At 37.0% G+C, this 19,097-nt stretch overlaps 1 protein-coding gene, 1 long non-coding RNA gene and 1 pseudogene across 6 annotated transcripts in view; 2 read left to right on the top strand and 1 right to left on the bottom strand.

Annotated features, from left to right (window-relative positions):
- Positions 1-19,097, bottom strand: part of OR2L13 (olfactory receptor family 2 subfamily L member 13) — a 163,987-nt gene that overhangs the window by 2,033 nt on the left and 142,857 nt on the right. Inside the window, exons 1-2 of one of the 4 annotated variants that reach the window (NM_001395936.1) lie at positions 3,877-3,947; positions 356-480 (exon numbers count right to left, since the gene is read on the bottom strand). The exons of 1 other annotated variant lie outside the window; for it this stretch is intronic. The gene's annotated coding sequence lies outside the window, so the exon portion shown is untranslated. Of the gene's footprint in view, positions 1-355; positions 481-3,177; positions 3,278-3,876; positions 3,948-19,097 lie in introns of those variants that run through there. 2 more of the 4 variants (XM_011544169.3, NM_175911.5) reach the window with 2 other exon arrangements.
- The window catches only part of LOC105373275 (uncharacterized), a 47,838-nt gene continuing 32,329 nt past the window's right edge, over positions 3,589-19,097 (top strand). For both annotated transcript variants that reach the window (XR_949369.3, XR_949368.3), the window contains exons 1-2: positions 3,589-3,727; positions 16,226-16,380. This is a non-coding gene — a long non-coding RNA (uncharacterized LOC105373275). The remainder of the gene's footprint in view (positions 3,728-16,225; positions 16,381-19,097) is intronic.
- Positions 14,535-15,498, top strand: OR2T32P (olfactory receptor family 2 subfamily T member 32 pseudogene; annotated as a pseudogene).

Genomic DNA, 19,097 nt, shown 5'->3' with positions numbered 1-19,097 from the left:
AGAGTCAAGCAGCTACAAATCTATTCAACTGGAAAAGCCAGTGTGAGCAGTAGAACAATTGTAATTTATGGCTTAAGCATGTCTTCCAATTTAATTAGATAGAACAACACAATTAAATGTTAATAATTGAGAATAAAGAAATCAAGCAAACAAAAATAAATAATTTTCCCTCCCTGGAAAGTTTGTCTAGCTTTTTATGCCTAGGCTTTTCCTTGGGAATTTTTATTTATGACTTTTAGAATCTCTCTTTTTCTCTTTACACCACCCCAAATCTGGCAGTTTGTTTTTTTCTTCATGCAGTTTCCCAGGTATTCGTAAACTATATTTCTAACATCTGTGTGACTTCTTCCTTTACCTGGGCTTGGAGTGAGAGGTCATGTTTTGTGTGTGCTCTTCTGTCTGAGGCAGACACTGATGTCTCATCCTGCCCAGCATATTGATTTGGTTAGTCATCTTGGGTTACTGATTTTTCAACTTTTGCTGTTCAAAAGCAAATCATAGTTTGTTGCAATTATTCACATTTAGGAACTTAAACTCAACTGTTAGTTCATATAACCTTGGGTAGCATGAATACAATTGTGAAAGAGAGCCTGCCACAGGAAAAAAAATGGAAATTCATTTCTATAGCTGTCTAAGGAATAAACACTAACAATGAAAAGTTGGGAACATGACAGGTGCACAGTAGCATTGGACTTGGATGCCAAATGGGATCACAGGCACTCTCTGCTTCTTATAGTGCTTTAGAAATAAAAACTGATCAGAAAAAAACATGAAAACCATCATTATGATACATTCATTTCCTCAAATAGTGTTCACTGAATTTATGTTTTATGACAGTGCTGCTAGCTACTGATGTGCTTTGGTGATGAAACACAAAGGATTTTAGAATATGTAATTAAAATTGAGATAATTATACAAACAATAGACCAACAAACTCAAACATACAGTGATGTTATGTAGTGATTACGATTCTATAGAAAAATAAAAAAGCAGAGAGATCATTGGATTAAACAAAGGAATTCAAAAAGTATTCCAAACGACTTTTCTAATTTCCAGGGTATGTATGATAAAGATTGATTTTGTAACTCATGTGGCTTCATTCTATCAGTAAGAACTATCCTAGTAATTTAGTTCCAAGCAAATATTTGATTAATTTTATCAGATTAACATGTTGACAGCCTTTGATGCAGTAGTCACTGAGTGAGGCAGTGGGGATAGAATGATTCATCAGGTGCTGTCCCATCCCCAAGTGGGCGACCAACTGTCCTGATGTGCCCAGGCCTTAGGGGATGCCCAACATGTCCTGGAAATTGGAAAAGCCTTTTGTAGTGCTTTCTGAATTCCTTTGTTTAATCCAGGTTTAAATCCAGGGGAAGAAAGCTGCCAGCATGATCCCATGAGGTGTATCCAATACCGAGCCCTGAACAAGCTGACTTGGGTGTAGGTTTATGTGTTCCATCCTGGAGTTGTTTTGAAGAGAGACATTTTGATTCTTTGTTGCATAGACTATAGCTCAGAGTATTATAAAGATTGTTTTATGGCAGTTACTACAATAATGATTTTGTTTCCAAAAATGGAAAAGTGGCATGTTGTTAGGCAATGGAAGAGAATAGTTACTTTTAGGATCCTGTGAATCTGGGACTTGGAGATTTTAGGTCATGGGATATTGGAGTTTGAGTTTAGGATCTATTTCCATTGATGTCCAGCAGCTTTCCTTGTTAGACATGGGACCTTATTTCATGCACCAGAATTACATGAAGCATCATTCTGTCGGTTACCTTATAGCTGGGAAAATGTTGTTCCTGTGGCTATCAGGTGAGTGTGAGATTAGTGACTGCCTTGGCCATCCTTGTTGACTTAAAGAACGACACTAAGGCAAAATTAATACAGAAAGTTTATTTGGGCCAAGGTTGAGGGCTGCAGCCCAGAAACACTTCTGTGGCAAGTAACCTGGAGAACAAGAAGAGACCCAAGTTTTTAAGGTAAAGAAAGGGAGGAATCAGGAGTGGAGACAAATTCTAAAGTTATTTATCAGCAAGTCTCACTGGTTTCAGAAACAACATTGATCAGTGATTGGTTATGCATTATTTAACTATAGGATATGTGGTTTAGGGGATTGATAGGTTAATTCATGGTTAGTTGCCACAAGTCAGTCCAGAGCCCCCATAGCACGTAGATTCAAGAGATGATTACCTAGCTCAAGAAAGAGTGAGATGTGACTGCGGCCACATTTCAATCTTGCTGGGCCTGATAATTTAAAGGGGGCTACTTATTCCTCAGATAAAAAGTTTATTTTCTTTCTCATTCTAAAAGATACGTTGCTGAAATTTATAGAGTTAAAAAACACCTCATTTCACAGAAACTAACAATGTAAGTGTAGCAAGTGTAGGGTCCTGAATTTATTTTGCAAAATTACAATTAGTGAATGCTTCTTAAAACTCTTTTAAACAATCAGCAGGAGACCAATAGCAAATAGTCATAGACTCAGCTCCCTCAATCTCAACAACGTATAGGACAACTATAAAGAGAATTCACAGTTCTGTGTGTTCAGCACATAGTAGGTCCTTAGTAATTGTCACTGTCCTTTGCCCATTCCCTGTGTTAACCATGGAGAGCCCTCACGCCCTGAGAAAATGTTTTTATTAATGTCACATTGTTTGAGAGCTGCACATAGTGCAACTCTAACAAGTTCATGTTACCTTTTTTTACATTTTTAGTTCACTCTTGGTTTTCATTTTTTTTTTTTTTGAGACAGAGTCTCACTGTGTCGCCCAGGCTGGAGTGCAGTGGCCTGATCTTGGCTCACTGCAAGCTCCGCCTCCCGGGTTCACGCCCTTCTCCTGCCTCAGCCTCCCCAGTAGCTGGGACTACAGGCGCCCACCACCACGCCCGGCTAATTTTTATTTTTGTATTTTCAGTAGAGACCGGGTTTCACTGTGTTAGCCAGGATGGTCTCGATCTCCTGACCTCGTGATCTGCCCACCTCGGCCTCCCAAAGTGCTGGGATTACAGGCATGAGCCACCTGGGTGCCCAGCCTTCTTTTTCAATTTGTTATGGAACTGTCTATTCCCTGTGCAGCAGAGAGTTTCCTGATGATAGGAAAACATTTCCAAAAAAGCTTTCTAGGATAAAGCCGACCCAAATCAACTCAATTCAGTTATATTACTATGACTCACTTTGCCCGAAGTTCTTCAGTTTATATAGTGGTATAAAAAGCAGTTTTATGGCCAGGCGCAGTGGCTCAGGTCTGTAAGCCCAGCACTTTGGGAGGCCAAGGCGGGCGGATCACGAGGTCAGGAGTTCGGGACCAGCCTGACCAATATGGTGACACCCCATCTCTACTAAAAACACAAAAATTAGCCAGGCGTGGTGGCATGCGCCTGTGATCCCATCCACTCGGGAGGCTGAGGCAGAAGAATCACTTGAACCTGGGAGGCAGAAGTTGCAGTGAGCTGAGATCGTGACCCTGCACTCCAGCCTGGGTGACATAGTGAGACTCCATCTCAAAAAAAAAAAAAAAAAGCAGCAGCTTTACAGTGACATCATAATCTGCAAACATTCCATATAATTATTTAAAACATGTAAGCATCAAACTATGTTCTGATAGTATATCAGGCTATCAATAACATTATATCACTGATCAATAGGCTCTGCATTAAACCAAAACTCTTTCTGAAGTGAGAATCTCTTCTTTATCTGCCAAAATTCATGAGGAAGAAACACCAGGTAACACTTTATAATATTCATTCCTTACAGCTCCCACAGCTAGTCATTGTCTTTATGGTGAAATCAGAAAACAACTTCACCAGCTCTTGTGAAATATTATCCTGTTTGCATATGCAGTGTTTAGATAAAGTCTCTTCCTTTCCTCTTACCTTGTTTCAGTGAGAACAGAATAAGGCATTTTACACTGAAGTCTCTCAGGTTCCACCATTGGAAGACAGAAGGATGAATGGCTATATTTTACACACAGAACCTTAAGTCACCAACCCTTAGATATTCCTCTTTCTCCTCTAATTGATCTCCAGTGTCCAAGTCCACGGGGGCCAAAACCTTGGTCACTTCACTTGACTTTGCTGATTTGGGGATGAACTCAAATTCTGAACTTAAAGCAAATCAACCAACCCAATCAACTTTGCTGCATTCAGCTGCTACCCAGAATCAGACTAAAGAGGGGTGTATTTAATATTCCAGTACATGATTTCAGAGCTATAGAAGATGTTAAATTATGTTTATGGAAATTCTGTCATCATGTAAGTTAGAGAATTCCGGATTAAAAAAGTGCAGGAACCACTTACAAGTACTCGACTCAGTAATAGCAGAACTAGTCCCAAGGATAGTTTCCTGTCCACTCTTTAGTGAGTTTCCAGGGGGAATGATTGATGATTGTGACTAAATTAAATTATACTAGGATAAAACACTTCCTTCTACTTGTTAGGTGGGGGTAGATAATTGATACATGACAATATATATCCATTTAGCTATTCTACTAAAGTGAAAGCTGACTCTTAGAGACAATGTGATAAAATGAGCATTTAGAGTCAGAGAGAATACTCTAGTCTGACAGCTATGCCACTAATTAGGAAGCTGAGTTGGGAAAATTACTTAAGATTTCAGCCTGTTACTAATCTTTACAACTGGACTAATTTGAGGGACATTCTAATAATTAAATAGAATGATGTATGCCAAATGTTTACATAGTGTCTGTTGCAGAGGAAGGGCTCAATCAACTGTAGCATCTCTTAACCTCTTTAATCCATACATTGGTTAACTAGAAAAGAACACTTTATTTGGGGTTATATTGTTCTTTTTTTATCTTTGAAGGCACTAACTGCTATATTTTATGTCAGAAATTAGAAATAATGCTATAAAATTAATATCCATGTTCTTTGTTTTTTTCCTTTAATTTTTTAGAATTATTATGATTATCTAATGGTTGCATATATTCATGAGGTACATGTGATGTTTCAATACAGGCATTCAATGTGTAATGAGCAAATAAGGGTATTTGGGGTACCTATTACCTCAAGCATTTATTAATTTTTTCTGTTAGAAATGTTCCAATTCCACTTTTAGTTATTTTGAAATATACAATAAATTATTGTTAACTATAGTCATCCTGTTGTGCTACTACATTCTAAGTCTTATTCATCCTAACTGTATTTTTGAGCCCATTAATCATCTCCAGTTTATTCCCCACTCTACTCTACTCTGCCGAGCCTCTGGTAACAGTCATTCTACTATATTTATTATTTTTTAATTTTAGCTCCCACATATGAGCAAGAATGCTCAAAGTTTGTCTTTCTGTGCCTGGCTTATTTCATGTAATATAATGGATAATGAAAATTTACTAGATACATAGAACACTATTCAACCATAAAAAAAAATAAGAGTGAATTCCTTTCATTTGCAACAACATGGATGGAACCGGAACTAAAGTAATGCTGGATTCTTGAATTATCTTGGCACCCTTTGTCCTAGGAGATGATGAGATGAGACTCAATAAATACTGGATGCAAATACGATGAAGTACGAAACTGGACAAAGCCATTCTAGTGCTTTAAATAAGAAGAGTGGACCAGTTATGATCACATACAGATTTTTTATTGCTCTTGTTAGTCTTTGGTAACTTCTATGTTTTTCCCTGCTGCAATGTGGTGCTGCTTGCATTTAACTCAGTGCAAAACTCAAACCCAGGTAAAACTCATTCTCAGCCTGTTACCGTCCCTGTAAGATCCATACACAGCAATGAAACGTGACTTGAGGAAAGTCCAATATATGATGATGCATCTCACCTCAAATTTATGACAATACATCTCAGATTTATGAATACAAATCTCATGGCCCTTTTGCCACGTCACAGTATGTTCTTGTTCTCTGCAGACTTTCTCTGAAAAGTAGTGATCCATGCCTCCTCCTGCTTTCCCCAAACCTTACCCCACTTCCACATCTCTTAGACTCCTCTGGGAAAAATAAACAAACCTGTTAATAAAACAATCAGATTTCAAACTTTTCTTCCATGAACTGTATCAGCCTCCCTCATTCTGTACCATATACTCAGCCTTGTTTCCTGTGACAGCGTATGAAATGACCGTGCTCCTGCCTAAACCCACTCTCTACTTTTGCACAAGGCTCAGCCCCTCTCAGCATCTCCTTTTTACATTTCCATTTCCATCTTCATCTGCACAGAAACATAAATTCTTTAGAGGAAAATATGGCTGTCAAAGATTCAATCATACTCCTTGGAGGCTCTGACCAAAGATTGAGCATCTTTTTCTTTCTGCAGAGATGGAAGTTACTCATTAACAAGTTGGAGCGGTGATGGATATTATAGACAAGGGGTTTCAGTAGGTGCGATCAATTAAAAAAAATCCAGGATGTAATGAATTACTCTGTGATGGTGTCTCCATGAAGCCTGGGAGCTTATAATGAGTTTAGAGATTCTTTACAATTTCTTAGTGACAATAAAGTTTTGGTTTAACCAGTGTAACCCTTCTAAGAAGACTGTGAGGCAGGTATAATTTGTGAAAGTCTGTTTTATAGACCAGAATGTGGTGTACTTTGATGAGTGTGTATTCTAATGTTGTTGAATGGAGTAGTCCACAGATGTGAAATAGATCCAGTTGGTTGATGGTGCTGTTCAGTTATATTCTTACTGTTTTCCTGCCTCTGGATGTATCAGTTACTAACAGAGGGGTGCTGAATATCCAACTTTAATTGCAGATTTATGTATTTCTCTTTTGTTGTCCTATATGTTTTTGCCTCATCTATTTTGACATTATGTTGTTAGGTACATACACATTAAGTATTAATATGTATTATGTAGGAAGTCTTAGCCAGAGCAATTAGGCAAGAGTGAAAAATGAAAAGCATTTAAACAGGAAGGAAGGAAGTCAACATATCTCTCTTTATAGATGATACCATTCTATATCTGGAAAACCCCATAGTCTCTGTCCAAAAGCTCCCTGATTTGATAAATAACTTCAGCAAAGTTTCAGCATACAAAATCAATGTACAAAAGTCAGTGTCATTTCTATACACCAATAGCAGCCAAGGTAAGAGCCAAATCAGGAGCTCAATCCTATTCACTATGGCCATGAAAAGAATACAGCTAATGACGGTGGTGAAAGATCTCTACAATGAGAAATATAAAATGCTGATCAAAGGAATTGGAGAGACACCAACAAATAGAAAAACTTTCCATGTTCATGGATAGGAAGAATCAATATTCTTAAAATGGCCATACTGCCCAAAGCAATTTACAGATTCAATGCTATTCCTAGGTCAAACTATCAATGACATTCCTCACAGGATTAGAGAAAACAATTTTAAAATTCATATGGAATAAAAATAAATAAATAAAACCCAAATAGCCAAGACAATCCTAAGCCAAAAGAACAAAGCTGGAGACATCGCATTACTTGACTTCAAACTATACTACAAGGCTACAATAATCAAAACAGCATGTTAATGGTACAATGACAGATGCATAGACCAACGGAACAGAATGGAGAGCCCAGAAATAATGCCGTACACCGAGAGCCATCTGATTTTCAACGAAGCCAACAAAAATAATCAATGGGGAAATGACTTCCTGTTCAATAAATGGTGCTGGGATAACTAGCTAGTCAAATGCAGAAGATTGTAACTGGAACCCTTTTTACATCACATACACAAATCAACTTCAGATGGATTAAAGACTTCAACATAAAACCTAAACTCTAAGTACTCTGAAAAATAACTTAGGAAATGTCATTCTGGACATAGGACCTGGCAAAGATTTTACAATGAAGATACTAAAATTGATTTTAACAAAAACATAAATTAACAAGTGGAACCTAATTAAATTAAAGAGCTCTTGCATAGCAAAATAAACTATCAAAAGAATAAACAGACAAACTACAGAATGGGATAAAATATTTGCAAATATACATGCAACAAAAGTTTACTATCCAAAATCTATAAAGAAATTTAAACAAATCAAGCAGAAAACAAACAGCTCCATTAAAAAGTGGGCAAAGAATATTAGTAGACTCTTTTCAAAAGATGACATCCATGTTGCCAATAAGCATATGAAAAAGTACTCAACATTACTAATCATTAGAGAAATGCATATCAAAACCACAATGAGATACCATCTCATAACCAGTCAGAATGGGTATTACTAAAAAAATCTAAAAATAACAAAAGGTGAGGATGCAGAGAAAAGGGAACGCTTATACACTACTGGTGCAAATGTAAATTAGTTCAACTATTGTGGAAAGCAGCTTTGTGATTTCTCAAAGAACTTAAAACTGAACTACCATTCAAGCCACCCATCTCAATATTACTTGCATACCCAAAGGAGTATACATTGTTCTACAATAAAGTAACCTGCACATGTATGTTCATCACAGCACTATTCACAATAGCGAAGACATGGAATCAACCTACATGCCCATCAATAGTAGATTGGATAAAGAAAACGTAGTACATATACACCACGAAATACTATGCAGCCACAAAAAGACTGAGATAATGTCCTTTGCAGCAACATGGATGAAGTGGAGGCCATTAGCCTAAGCAAACCAACCAAGGAACTACAAGCCAAAAACTGCATGTTTTCATTATAAGTGGGAGCTAAACATTAAGTACACATGGACACACAGACAGGAACAACAGACACCGGGGCCTACTTGAGGGTGGAAGGTGAGAGACAATGAGAAACCACCTACTGGGTACTATGCTTATTACCTGCATGACAAAATAATCTGTACATGAAACCTCTGTGACCTACAATTTACCTGTATGACAAATTTGCACATATACCCCAAAAACTAGAAATTAAAAAACATACTAAACGAAAGGGTTCAGGGAGCTTCTGTGTTAGCAAACACATTTACATACCCTGAGAGTGGCACACCCCAAGTCCACAGAGATGTTACCAAACGAAACTCAAGTCAGCCTGCCTGATACAGCAAAGTCAAATGCTGACATGGGGATTGCAGCAAGAGAAAGGGAGGAATTTATTACAGGGGGGCAAGCAAGGAGAAGTGAGCAGCTAATGCTTAAGACCTGAACTCTCTGATGGATGGCTACAGGTAAGTTTTTAAAGGGAGGGAGGAAGAGGTTACAGGAAAAGTCATAAATCAATATATGGAGGTTATACATGGGTTTAACCTGAAAAAATGGGACATCTCAAAGTGGGGGGCCCACACATCATAGGGAGATTCAAAAATTTTCTGATTTGTGATTGGTTAAGGAAGTAAAGCTTTGTCTAAAAAATTAGAGTCAGCAGAAAACAATGTTAACTCTCATCCATGGGTGTGACTTCCTCCAGGACCTTCAGGAAGAAATTCAGAAGAAAACATGGTTGTCCGAGCTCTGTCCTCAGTTCCTCCTTATCTGAGGTCTATGTGCCAGTAGAGCTATTTAGTGGGATTCCAAGTTTCTGAAAAACAACTCAGGGACAAATGTTAAGCTGTTATCTCTAGTTTTTATAAAGGAACTAAGTACCCTGTGATTTTAACTTCCTTGGCTATTGCATTAGGCTATAATTATCTTCTTGCTTATGAAGTTGCTCATTTATTTCTCAGGACTAGCTAGGTGCCTGGAATTTCCCCGAAGGAACTTAAGCTTTTCCTTTATCTCTGCACTTGGAGGAACTTACAGGTCACTAAGAGGGCTCCCTGCTCCATCTCAAGCCCCATGACTCAACTTCTGGGGAGGTGGGGGCTGGAGATTGAGTTAATTACCAACAGCCACATTAATGCCTATATAATGAAGCCACCATAAAACCCATAATGACAGGGTTCAGGGAGCTTCTGAGTTGGCAAACACATTTCCTTGCCCAGAGGGTGGCACAGGAGCTCCTGTGCTTGGGACCCTTCCGGAGCTTCCCAGATGTACCTCTTCATTTGATTCTTCATTTGCGTCCTTTATAATAAACTATAATAGCAAGGGTAGCATTTTCCTCATTTCCATGCTTCGTTCCAGCCAGTTATATAACCTGAAGCAGAGTAGTTGTGAGATCCTCCAAGTTTGTATCCAAATCAGGTAGAGGTAACCTGGATATCCCCTACTTGAGACTGGCATCTGAAGAGAAGGCAGTCTTGTGGGATTGACTCCATCAGCATCTGGAGTCTGATGCTCCAGACTCCGGTCAGTGTCAGGATTAAATTGAATAGTAAGACACCTAGTTGGTGTGAGAGTTGGAGAAGCGGTATTGGAAAAGACACTGTGAATTTGATTTCAAAAAAAAAATTCATTATTTTTGTTTTGTTTTCCATTAGTATAAAACTGGTTGATATCTAATATGGCATGGACAGAAGTTCTTTACATGTCTACTTGACAAAACAACTTCACAGATTCTGGGCTGTAATTTATGGTAAATGGCAAATCAAACACAGAAGCATTCACCCAGAGCACTAAATAGTCTTTGAGCAGGACTATTAAACACCGAAAGAACAGGCTACCCTGCCCTTATCTTGTTTTAGATAACTTTTTACAATATGTAGGCCAGAATCAACTTTACTCTGCCTTGCAGGGATTGTTTTTTATTTCAGAACAATTACAATAATGACATCAATGAACATGGATGGAGAATATACTATGGGCCAGACACTCTCCCAGAACGTTTACCAATATTTTATTTATTCCTTCCTATAATGCTACAAAGTAAGCAATTTTATTATGCATCTTTTATAGGAAAGGAACATGAAGATCATTTTATCCAAAATCATGAAATGCGTAAGAAATAGAAGTGAGATTAAAAACAAAACACAAAAACATTTAAACATGTAAAGTTGGGAATTGATTAGTTTATAGGCTATCCAAGCATTGGGGCCCAGTTCAAAATAGTCGAAATTCACCTTCAGATTTTTTTTTTTATAAAAGGCAGTATTTCTCAAAGTGTAATTCCTAAGTATTCTGAGTGATTCAGATGTTCCTCAACCTTTAAGAACCACAAGTCTATGATTTGAACATTAAAGTTCTTCCGCTCTGCTACCTCGTGATAGTTAAATATAGGTATGGTATTTAAAACCATTAACATTGTTTACATTGCTATATTAATGTAAAAGTTCATAGAACAAACAGCTAACTAAAAGATTAAATAGCACGCGTGTAAATGTATGTAAAATGCTGAGCATATTCACTAGCATGTAGAAATGTTGAATAAATAAAATCTATTATTATTTTCATGATACAATTTCAGAAAATTTAAAAATTTATTTCAGGTAATTAAGTCACATATATTCAAGGATTATCAATGATCAGAATTCTAGACTTTCACTTCACTAATTCATTGTGCTTGCTATCCTTACAAGGGACATATCTGTTCACATTCCCATTCAGAGTGTTTTTGCTTTTAGCAAAACTTGGGTGCTAAATTTGTTCATTACATTCATTTACCCTTAGGAAATACTTTAATCTGTATTCCCTTGCCAAAGATGATATACCTTTCCAAGTGGCATAGCTCCAGGGAAGATATTTGGTTGTTAGAAACTTTCAGTGACCACAGAGGATTTTTAACTAAATAGAGCAAAAAGCACAAAGCAGTAGCCACAATACTGAGGTTAAGCAAACATTTGTACTCAACCCATCAGAAAGATTCAGTCCCATATATATGTCACACTGGCTGTGATTCTCTACTGCAAAGGTGAGTCAATTTGTTTGATAATTATTTTTCTTTAATTTTAGGTAGTAATTTCAAATTACTCGTATTTATTATGTATTCAGCATTTTATATATGAATTTTGAATTGCAAAGTAACCTTTGTAAAGTTGCAGGCACAAATCACACAAATTAAATGTTGTCCTGTCATCCACAGGGTGTTTTGAAAATGTAAGATGCAGTCTGTGTCTACCCAGAAACACCAATTCAAAAATTCTTGAATAAAGCAGTTAATTAGGTCAAATGATTGAATTTGTATTAGAAGATTTTTTTTTTTACTGAAGAGTATGGCTGTTTCAATAATTTCTCCATGTTATATCAATAGCTTGTGGACATAGAGACACTGCCTTTGTGGAGGGTAGGATGCCAGAAAGAAGAGAGAAGGAGATTGTTGAGTGGAACTCTAATGTTCCAGAACAGTGATCTGTGTGTGTTTTCAAGTAAGCATGAAGGTGGGGAAGGGGACGATAATCAGTTTACCTACCAGCTTCAGAAAGGGCATGGCTTTGACACTAATAGACACAACATTCCTCAGCTATTTCTAAATAAAGTGCCTAGAAGAGCTAAGAAAGACAAATAGAAATAAATATAAATATATATAATAGAAATGTATATATAAGTGTATGTGGAAAAATAAATAAAAAGATATATATTTTATACATAAAAATACAAAAGTATTAAAATGTTTTATTTAAATCCAGGTATCCTATTTAATAGCTTAGAATTAATATCAGCCCACAAATTGCCTTAAAGAAGAAATATTTATCAGCATTTGTTCACATTCTTATAATTTGCTGAGTTAATATAGCCTTTAAATGAGAGATAAATATTCCACTTAACAAATAAATATAGCTGTATATTTAAAACACCAAAAAATCCTTTATTCAAAAATGATAATTAGTAAAAACAATCAAGCTGCAATACCTCCGTATACCTGAAAGAAGAATTAATACAGTTAAACTAACTTTTCTATTAAATTATCTGACCGATACAATGTGCTGAAAAGTCTCATCTATAACCATATTATACATCATAATTTTTCACAGCTTAGCATAATACAGGTTTATTTATTTTTGTTACATTTGAATGTTAAAGAAAAGAGCAATGGTTCCAAATTAAAGCGATATTTACTCTTTGCCTCCACCTGTAGAGAAGAGAATTCAATTCTGAAAAAGTATAACCACTCAGAATGAAAAAGTATAACCATTTAGAAAGTCTAAGAATTTTCAAATCTTAGACTTTCACCATCATGTCAACATAGTATTCAGCTCACTAATCTAATTAATATTTTATGCTGTGATTTTTAAGCTTCTGAATATATGAAAAAATGGCAACATAAAATGATCTAAACTAAAAAATTAAATTAAAAATAAAAATTTTGTGTCAATATGCACTATGGCTTAAAAAACTATTTTCAAACTCTGATATGCAAAACTCATGTAATTTTTTTTTAGTAATCTTTTTAGAAAGTTCAATGCTAGACTGTGGCCTGTTAGGACCTGGCCTGCACAGGAGGTAAGCAGCAGGTGAACAAGCATTACCCATTGAGTTCTGCCTCCGTCAGATCAGCAGCAGCATTAGGTTCTCATAGGAGTGTGAGCCCTATTGTGAACTGCACGTGTGAGGGATCTAGATCGCATGCTCCTTATGAGAATCTAATGCCTGATGATCCAAGGTGAAACAGTATCATCCCAAAAGCATCCCCTCTCCCACAACCCCCATTGGTAGAAAAGTTTGGGGACCACTGGTTTAAAACATTTAAGTAAACAAAACAAAACAGAAATGTTATATAACTTTCTCCTTATAATGTAAAATGACAGAAATGATTCTTTTTTTCCCATGCTTTCATGTTTACTTTTTTTCTTAGCACAAATACAAGTTATGTAACTTTGCAGGTAGAATATGTTATTTCACATACTTCCTAAAATCATGACACATACTAGCAGTGGTACACCTACTATAATCTGGAAAAAGATAACTAGACAGTAGTGATTTTTTTTTTTTTTTTGGTGCTTCTCTGCACACATTTTTTTATTTTATTATTTTATTTTATTTTATTATTTTATTTTATTTTATTATTTTATTTGAGTCCTGGGATACATGTGCCAAACGTGCAGGTTTGTTACATAAGTATACCAGGGCGATGGTGGTTTGGACAGTAGTGATTTTTTGAGATGGACTTTTTAATGCCATGTCGAGTGCTTTTTTATCCATGAGTTCTGCATTAATAAAATGAGTCTGAGGGTGGTTTAAAGTTATAATGGAGGCAGTGGAGGTCTGCAGTCAAGGAGTCAGTGGGCTGTGGCAATCACATGAGAAAGATACTTTAAACAGTATGTAAAATAAGGGGAGTGCATACACTATATGGGAAGACAGTAATGCAACCGACAAGGCTTGGCACAGGCTTGATTAGGTAGAATCTTTGCCTATTTTGCCTGTTTTATTGTCCTATAATCTCTGTTTATTTCCCTGATGGCATGACAGAATCTTTGATGTTGGTAAATGCTGGAAGAGAATAGCAGTAACTATAATGAGTAAGTAGTACTTGGAGTAAGTATAGGACAGGAAACAACTTAAAAATGAAGTGTTATTAGTCACAGACAAGGTATCATCTCAAAGATGCTAGTGTTACTGTGTGTTTGTGGCTGCTCACATCTGAATGCTCACATGCTGGATGTAGTAATTTAATGAGTCCTTGGCACTGCCTTTCTGGAGGTCCCTGAATGAGACCATCTGTGTCTGAGATGAAGTCTAAAATATTCAAACCATGACATTTGTGAATTTTCTATGAAAAAAAAGAGGGAAGTTAGCTCGTTATTCAGATGATAAAAGCCTCTTCCTTCTCTATTTTTCCATTTGCACCATCACACCAGGGGAAATTATGGAGATGAGAAATACTACCCCAGACTTTATTCTCCTGGGACTCTTTAACCACACCAGAGCCCACCAAGTCCTCTTCATGATGGTTCTGAGTATCGTTTTGACCTCCCTGTTTGGCAATTCCCTCATGATTCTCCTGATTCACCGGGACCGGCCGGCTCCACACGCCCATGTACTTCCTCCTGAGCCAACTCTCCCTCATGGACGTGATGCTGGTTTCCACCACTGTGCCCAAAATGGCGGCTGACTACTTGACCGGAAATAAGGCCATCTCCCGCGCTGGCTGTGGTGTGCAGATCTTCTTCCTCCCCACACTGGGTGGTGGAGAGTGCTTCCTCTTAGCAGCCATGGCCTATGACCGCTATGCGGCTGTCTGCCACCCACTCCGATATCCCACTCTCATGAGCTGGCAGCTGTGCCTGAGGATGACCATGTCGTCCTGGCTCCTGGGTGCAGCTGACGGGCTCCTGCAGGCTGTTGCTACCCTGAGCTTCCCATATTGCGGTGCACACGAGATCGATCACTTCTTCTGCGAGGCCCCCGTGCTGGTGCGTTTGGCTTGTGCTGACACTTCAGTCTTCGAAAACGCCATGTACATCTGCTGTGTGTTAATGCTCCTGGTCCCCTTTTCCCTCATCCTGTCCTCCTATGGTCTCATCCTCGCTGCTGTTCTGCACATGCGCTCTACAGAAGCCCGCAAGAAGGCCTTCGCCACCTGCTCTTCACATGTGGCTGTGGTGGGACTCTTTTATGGAGCTGCCATTTTTACCTATATGAGACCCAAATCCCACAGGTCCACTAACCACGACAAGGTTGTGTCAGCCTTCTATAGTATGTTCACCCCTTTACTAAACCCCCTCATCTACAGTGTGAGGAACAGTGAGGTCAAGGAAGCCCTGAAACGGTGGCTGGGGACATGTGTAAACCTGAAACACCAGCAAAATGAGGCCCACAGGTCAAGATGATCTAGTGTCAAATGACTCTAAGTTCCTGAATTTATCAACATTTTAACACATTGTAATTCTCTCCCTTTAGTAGTTCATGAACAGAAAATTAAGTTTGTGCATTGATATAATAAGATATTTTTAAGAATGAAGTGAGCTAATTGTATTGAGAGATACCATTTTTGAGCATTTATGTGCTTTTCTTCAAGTGAAGTAAAATCTATATATTACTTTGTATCCTAAAACAACCCCATGATATAAGTACTGTTGACAATATATCCTACTTTCTAAAAAAAGAAATTAACAATGGAAAGTTAAATATTGTTTCCAATTTCACATAGCGTGGAAATATTAAAAAGTGACTCCAGAGCTTGTACCATAACCTGGAAAAGTTTATTTCTGTTCAATAACGTATTTTGAGTGTTATTTCCTATGTGTATGCTCTATGATTAAAAACTAAATATGAGGACTCCACCAAAGACAAATCACATTATTTTAAAATTATATTTTAAAATATAGTTGCATGAAAAAGGGGAGGTACACAACTCAAATGTAACTGCTATATTGTCACATTTCTTTTGTATTTATTCCACAGTCTGTTTTTATTTGGTGTTTAAAGGCAAACCTTTTTAAATTTATGTAATTTTTCATTTAAGCAATATTTATCTTTTCCCAGAGTCTCACTGTAATCACATTGGAAAATTGCTTTAAACTACAACTAAGTTCTCTTTTCTACACATGTTTTAAGGTTACCTTGACTTATGGACATAGATCCATGGATATGAACTCTGAATTGCATAATCATGCTGAATGTTAACAGTTACTAACAATGAGTTATCAAAGCTGAGTAACACTCAACAACCTTATACATAATTGAGTCACCTTACTTCTGCCAAGGCATAGGTGAGTAGAGATATTTCTAATGAAAAGTTTGGGACACCTTCTAAAGGTTTGGGGTTTGCAAAACAAAAAAAAGAAGACTATTTTATTTATAAAGACACAAGCTAGATAATGATGGCAGAAAGCTGTGGTTATCAAAGCCAAATTGCAATCAGAGACAGGCTATCACATTGTCTTAGAGAGTTTTATGATAAAGGCTATATTTCCTGTACGTAAAACACACTTAAGAAATAATATGTTTTTTTCTTTTTTTTTATTATACTTTAAGTTTTAGGGTACATGTGCACATTGTGCAGGTTAGTTACATATGTATACATGTGCCATGCTGGTGCGCTGCACCCACTAACTCGTCATCTAGCATTAGGTATATCTCCCAATGCTATCCTCCCCCCTCCCCCCACCCCCCACCCCACCACAGTCCCCAGAGTGTGATATTCCCCTTCCTGTGTCCATGTGATCTCATTGTTCAATTCCCACCTATGAGTGAGAATATGTGGTGTTTGGTTTTTTGTTCTTGCAATAGTTTACTGAGAATGATGATTTCCAATTTCATCCATGTCCCTACAAAGGACATGAACTCATCATTTTTTATGGCTGCATAGTATTCCATGGTGTATATATGCCACATTTTCTTAATCCAGTCTATCATTGTTGGACATTTGGGTTGGTTTCAAGTCTTTGCTATTGTGAATAATGCCGCAATAAACATACGTGTGCATGTGTCTTTATAGCAGCATGATTTATTTAAACACACAATGGGAAATAACTAAAAGCTTCCAGGGACAATGTATCTTCAATATAAGTGTCTGAAAGTTAACCCGCCATTTCAGACCATCCTGAATTTCAAAAGGGGCTTGTTTTAGAACAAATGAGAGGAGTTTCCTGCTTCATATAGAGCTTCAGTTTCCAAAGCAGTAATATATTTAAGATAGTACCTTAACCAGTGCATGTAAATCCTGAGCCCATGTCTCAAGAGAAGGTTATTCAGTAAACACTTGTCTCCCTGAAAGAGTTGAGGATGACAGGAGATAGCATCATTTGTTTAAGACTAAAAGTTTGCTACTCTTTTTAATTATCTCCTTACCCAGTGTTAGGGTGAGAAAGGAACAGAACTGCATAAATTCTGTCATTTATACCATCTAAAAAATCTTCTCTTAGAATGAATGAAAATTACACAAGTACATGTTGTCGCGGAAATTTCATTACTCATACCAGGTTCATTCACCATCAGAGAAATTATTTTAAAACATATTGAGCTAAAAAATGGTAAATGAGGCCTATAAAATTTTGGAAGAATAAAAAATTCTAACCAGAAAATTAAGCCTAATATACAGGCGAAAGCTACAGCAACGACGACAACAACAAAAACGGAATGAACTTTATCTCCAAGCAAATGTAAGACATTAATAAAAATGCACAAAATACCTATAAAAATAGAAATATGTTTCAAAGAAGTGGTATTTCAGACTTGTTATCTGACCACAATGAAATTAAATATAAAATAAAAATTTTAAATAATTTTAGAAATATGTTCATTTCTTATTGCATTTTCAATTTGCAGATGTTTCTACTCTTAATTTCTTAATAAAGGTTTGCATAGAAAATCTTCAAAATCTTCAAAATCTTCAAAATGGTGGGTTAGCTTTCAGACACTTATATTGAAGATACATTGTCCCTGGAAGCTTTTAGTGATTTCCCATTGTGTGTTTAAAAATGAGCTGATATGGTTCTCATGAATCTCTAAGTTAAAGAAGGAGTACCTGATAGAGACAGATTATACAAGCCCATGAATGGTAGAAACAAAATTTCGAATGAGGAGTTACTTTGAATATACGAAGTTCTAGCACCCAGAAACAAACACTGTTGTTGGGAGTGTAAAGTAGTTCAACCAGTGTGAAGACAGTGTGGTGATTCCTCAAGGATCTAGGACCAGAAATACTATTTGACCCAGCAATCCCATTCCTGGGTATATACACAAAGGATTAGAAACCATTCTACTATAAAGACACATGCACACGTATGTTTATTGCAGCTATTCCCAATAGCAAAGACTTGAATCCAACACAAATGCCCATCAGTGATAGACTGGCTAAAGAAAATGTGCCCCATATACACCACAAAGACTATACAGCCATTAGAAAGGATGAGTTTACGTCCTTTGCAGGGACATGGATGAAGCTGGAAACCATCATTCTCAGGAAACTAACACAGGAACAGAAAACCAAACACTGCATGTTCTCATTCATAAGTGGAAGTTGAAGAATGAGGACACATGGACACATGGAGGGGAACATCACACACCGGGGCCTCTTTGAGGTGGAGGTTTAGGGGAGGGATAGCATTAGGAGAAATACCTAATGTAGATGATGAGTTGATGGGTGCAGCAAACCACCATGTCACGTGTATTCCTATGCAACAAACCCGCTCATGTTCTGCTCATGTACCCCAGAACTTAAAGTATAATTCTAATAAATTAAAATAAATACCTAATGCAATGAAAAAAAGAATTCATTCATCTTCAAAGTGCAATTTATTTACATTAATACAGATTTATTTAATACAGTTAATGCAAATCTTAATTGTACAGCTTGATAATTTTTTTTACAGATGTAAAAAAAAATATGTATCTGTAACTACAACAAAGATCATCTAGTTCCCTTTATGTCTTCCTTTTGTCTCTTCCAAGTCGATACCTTCACAAAGGAAATCATTATTCTAAC

The sequence above is a fragment of the Homo sapiens genome, chromosome 1 (genome assembly GCF_000001405.40).
Source record: "Homo sapiens chromosome 1, GRCh38.p14 Primary Assembly".
Lineage (NCBI taxonomy): Eukaryota > Metazoa > Chordata > Mammalia > Primates > Hominidae > Homo > Homo sapiens.
This window is presented reverse-complemented; position numbering and strand designations above follow the sequence as displayed.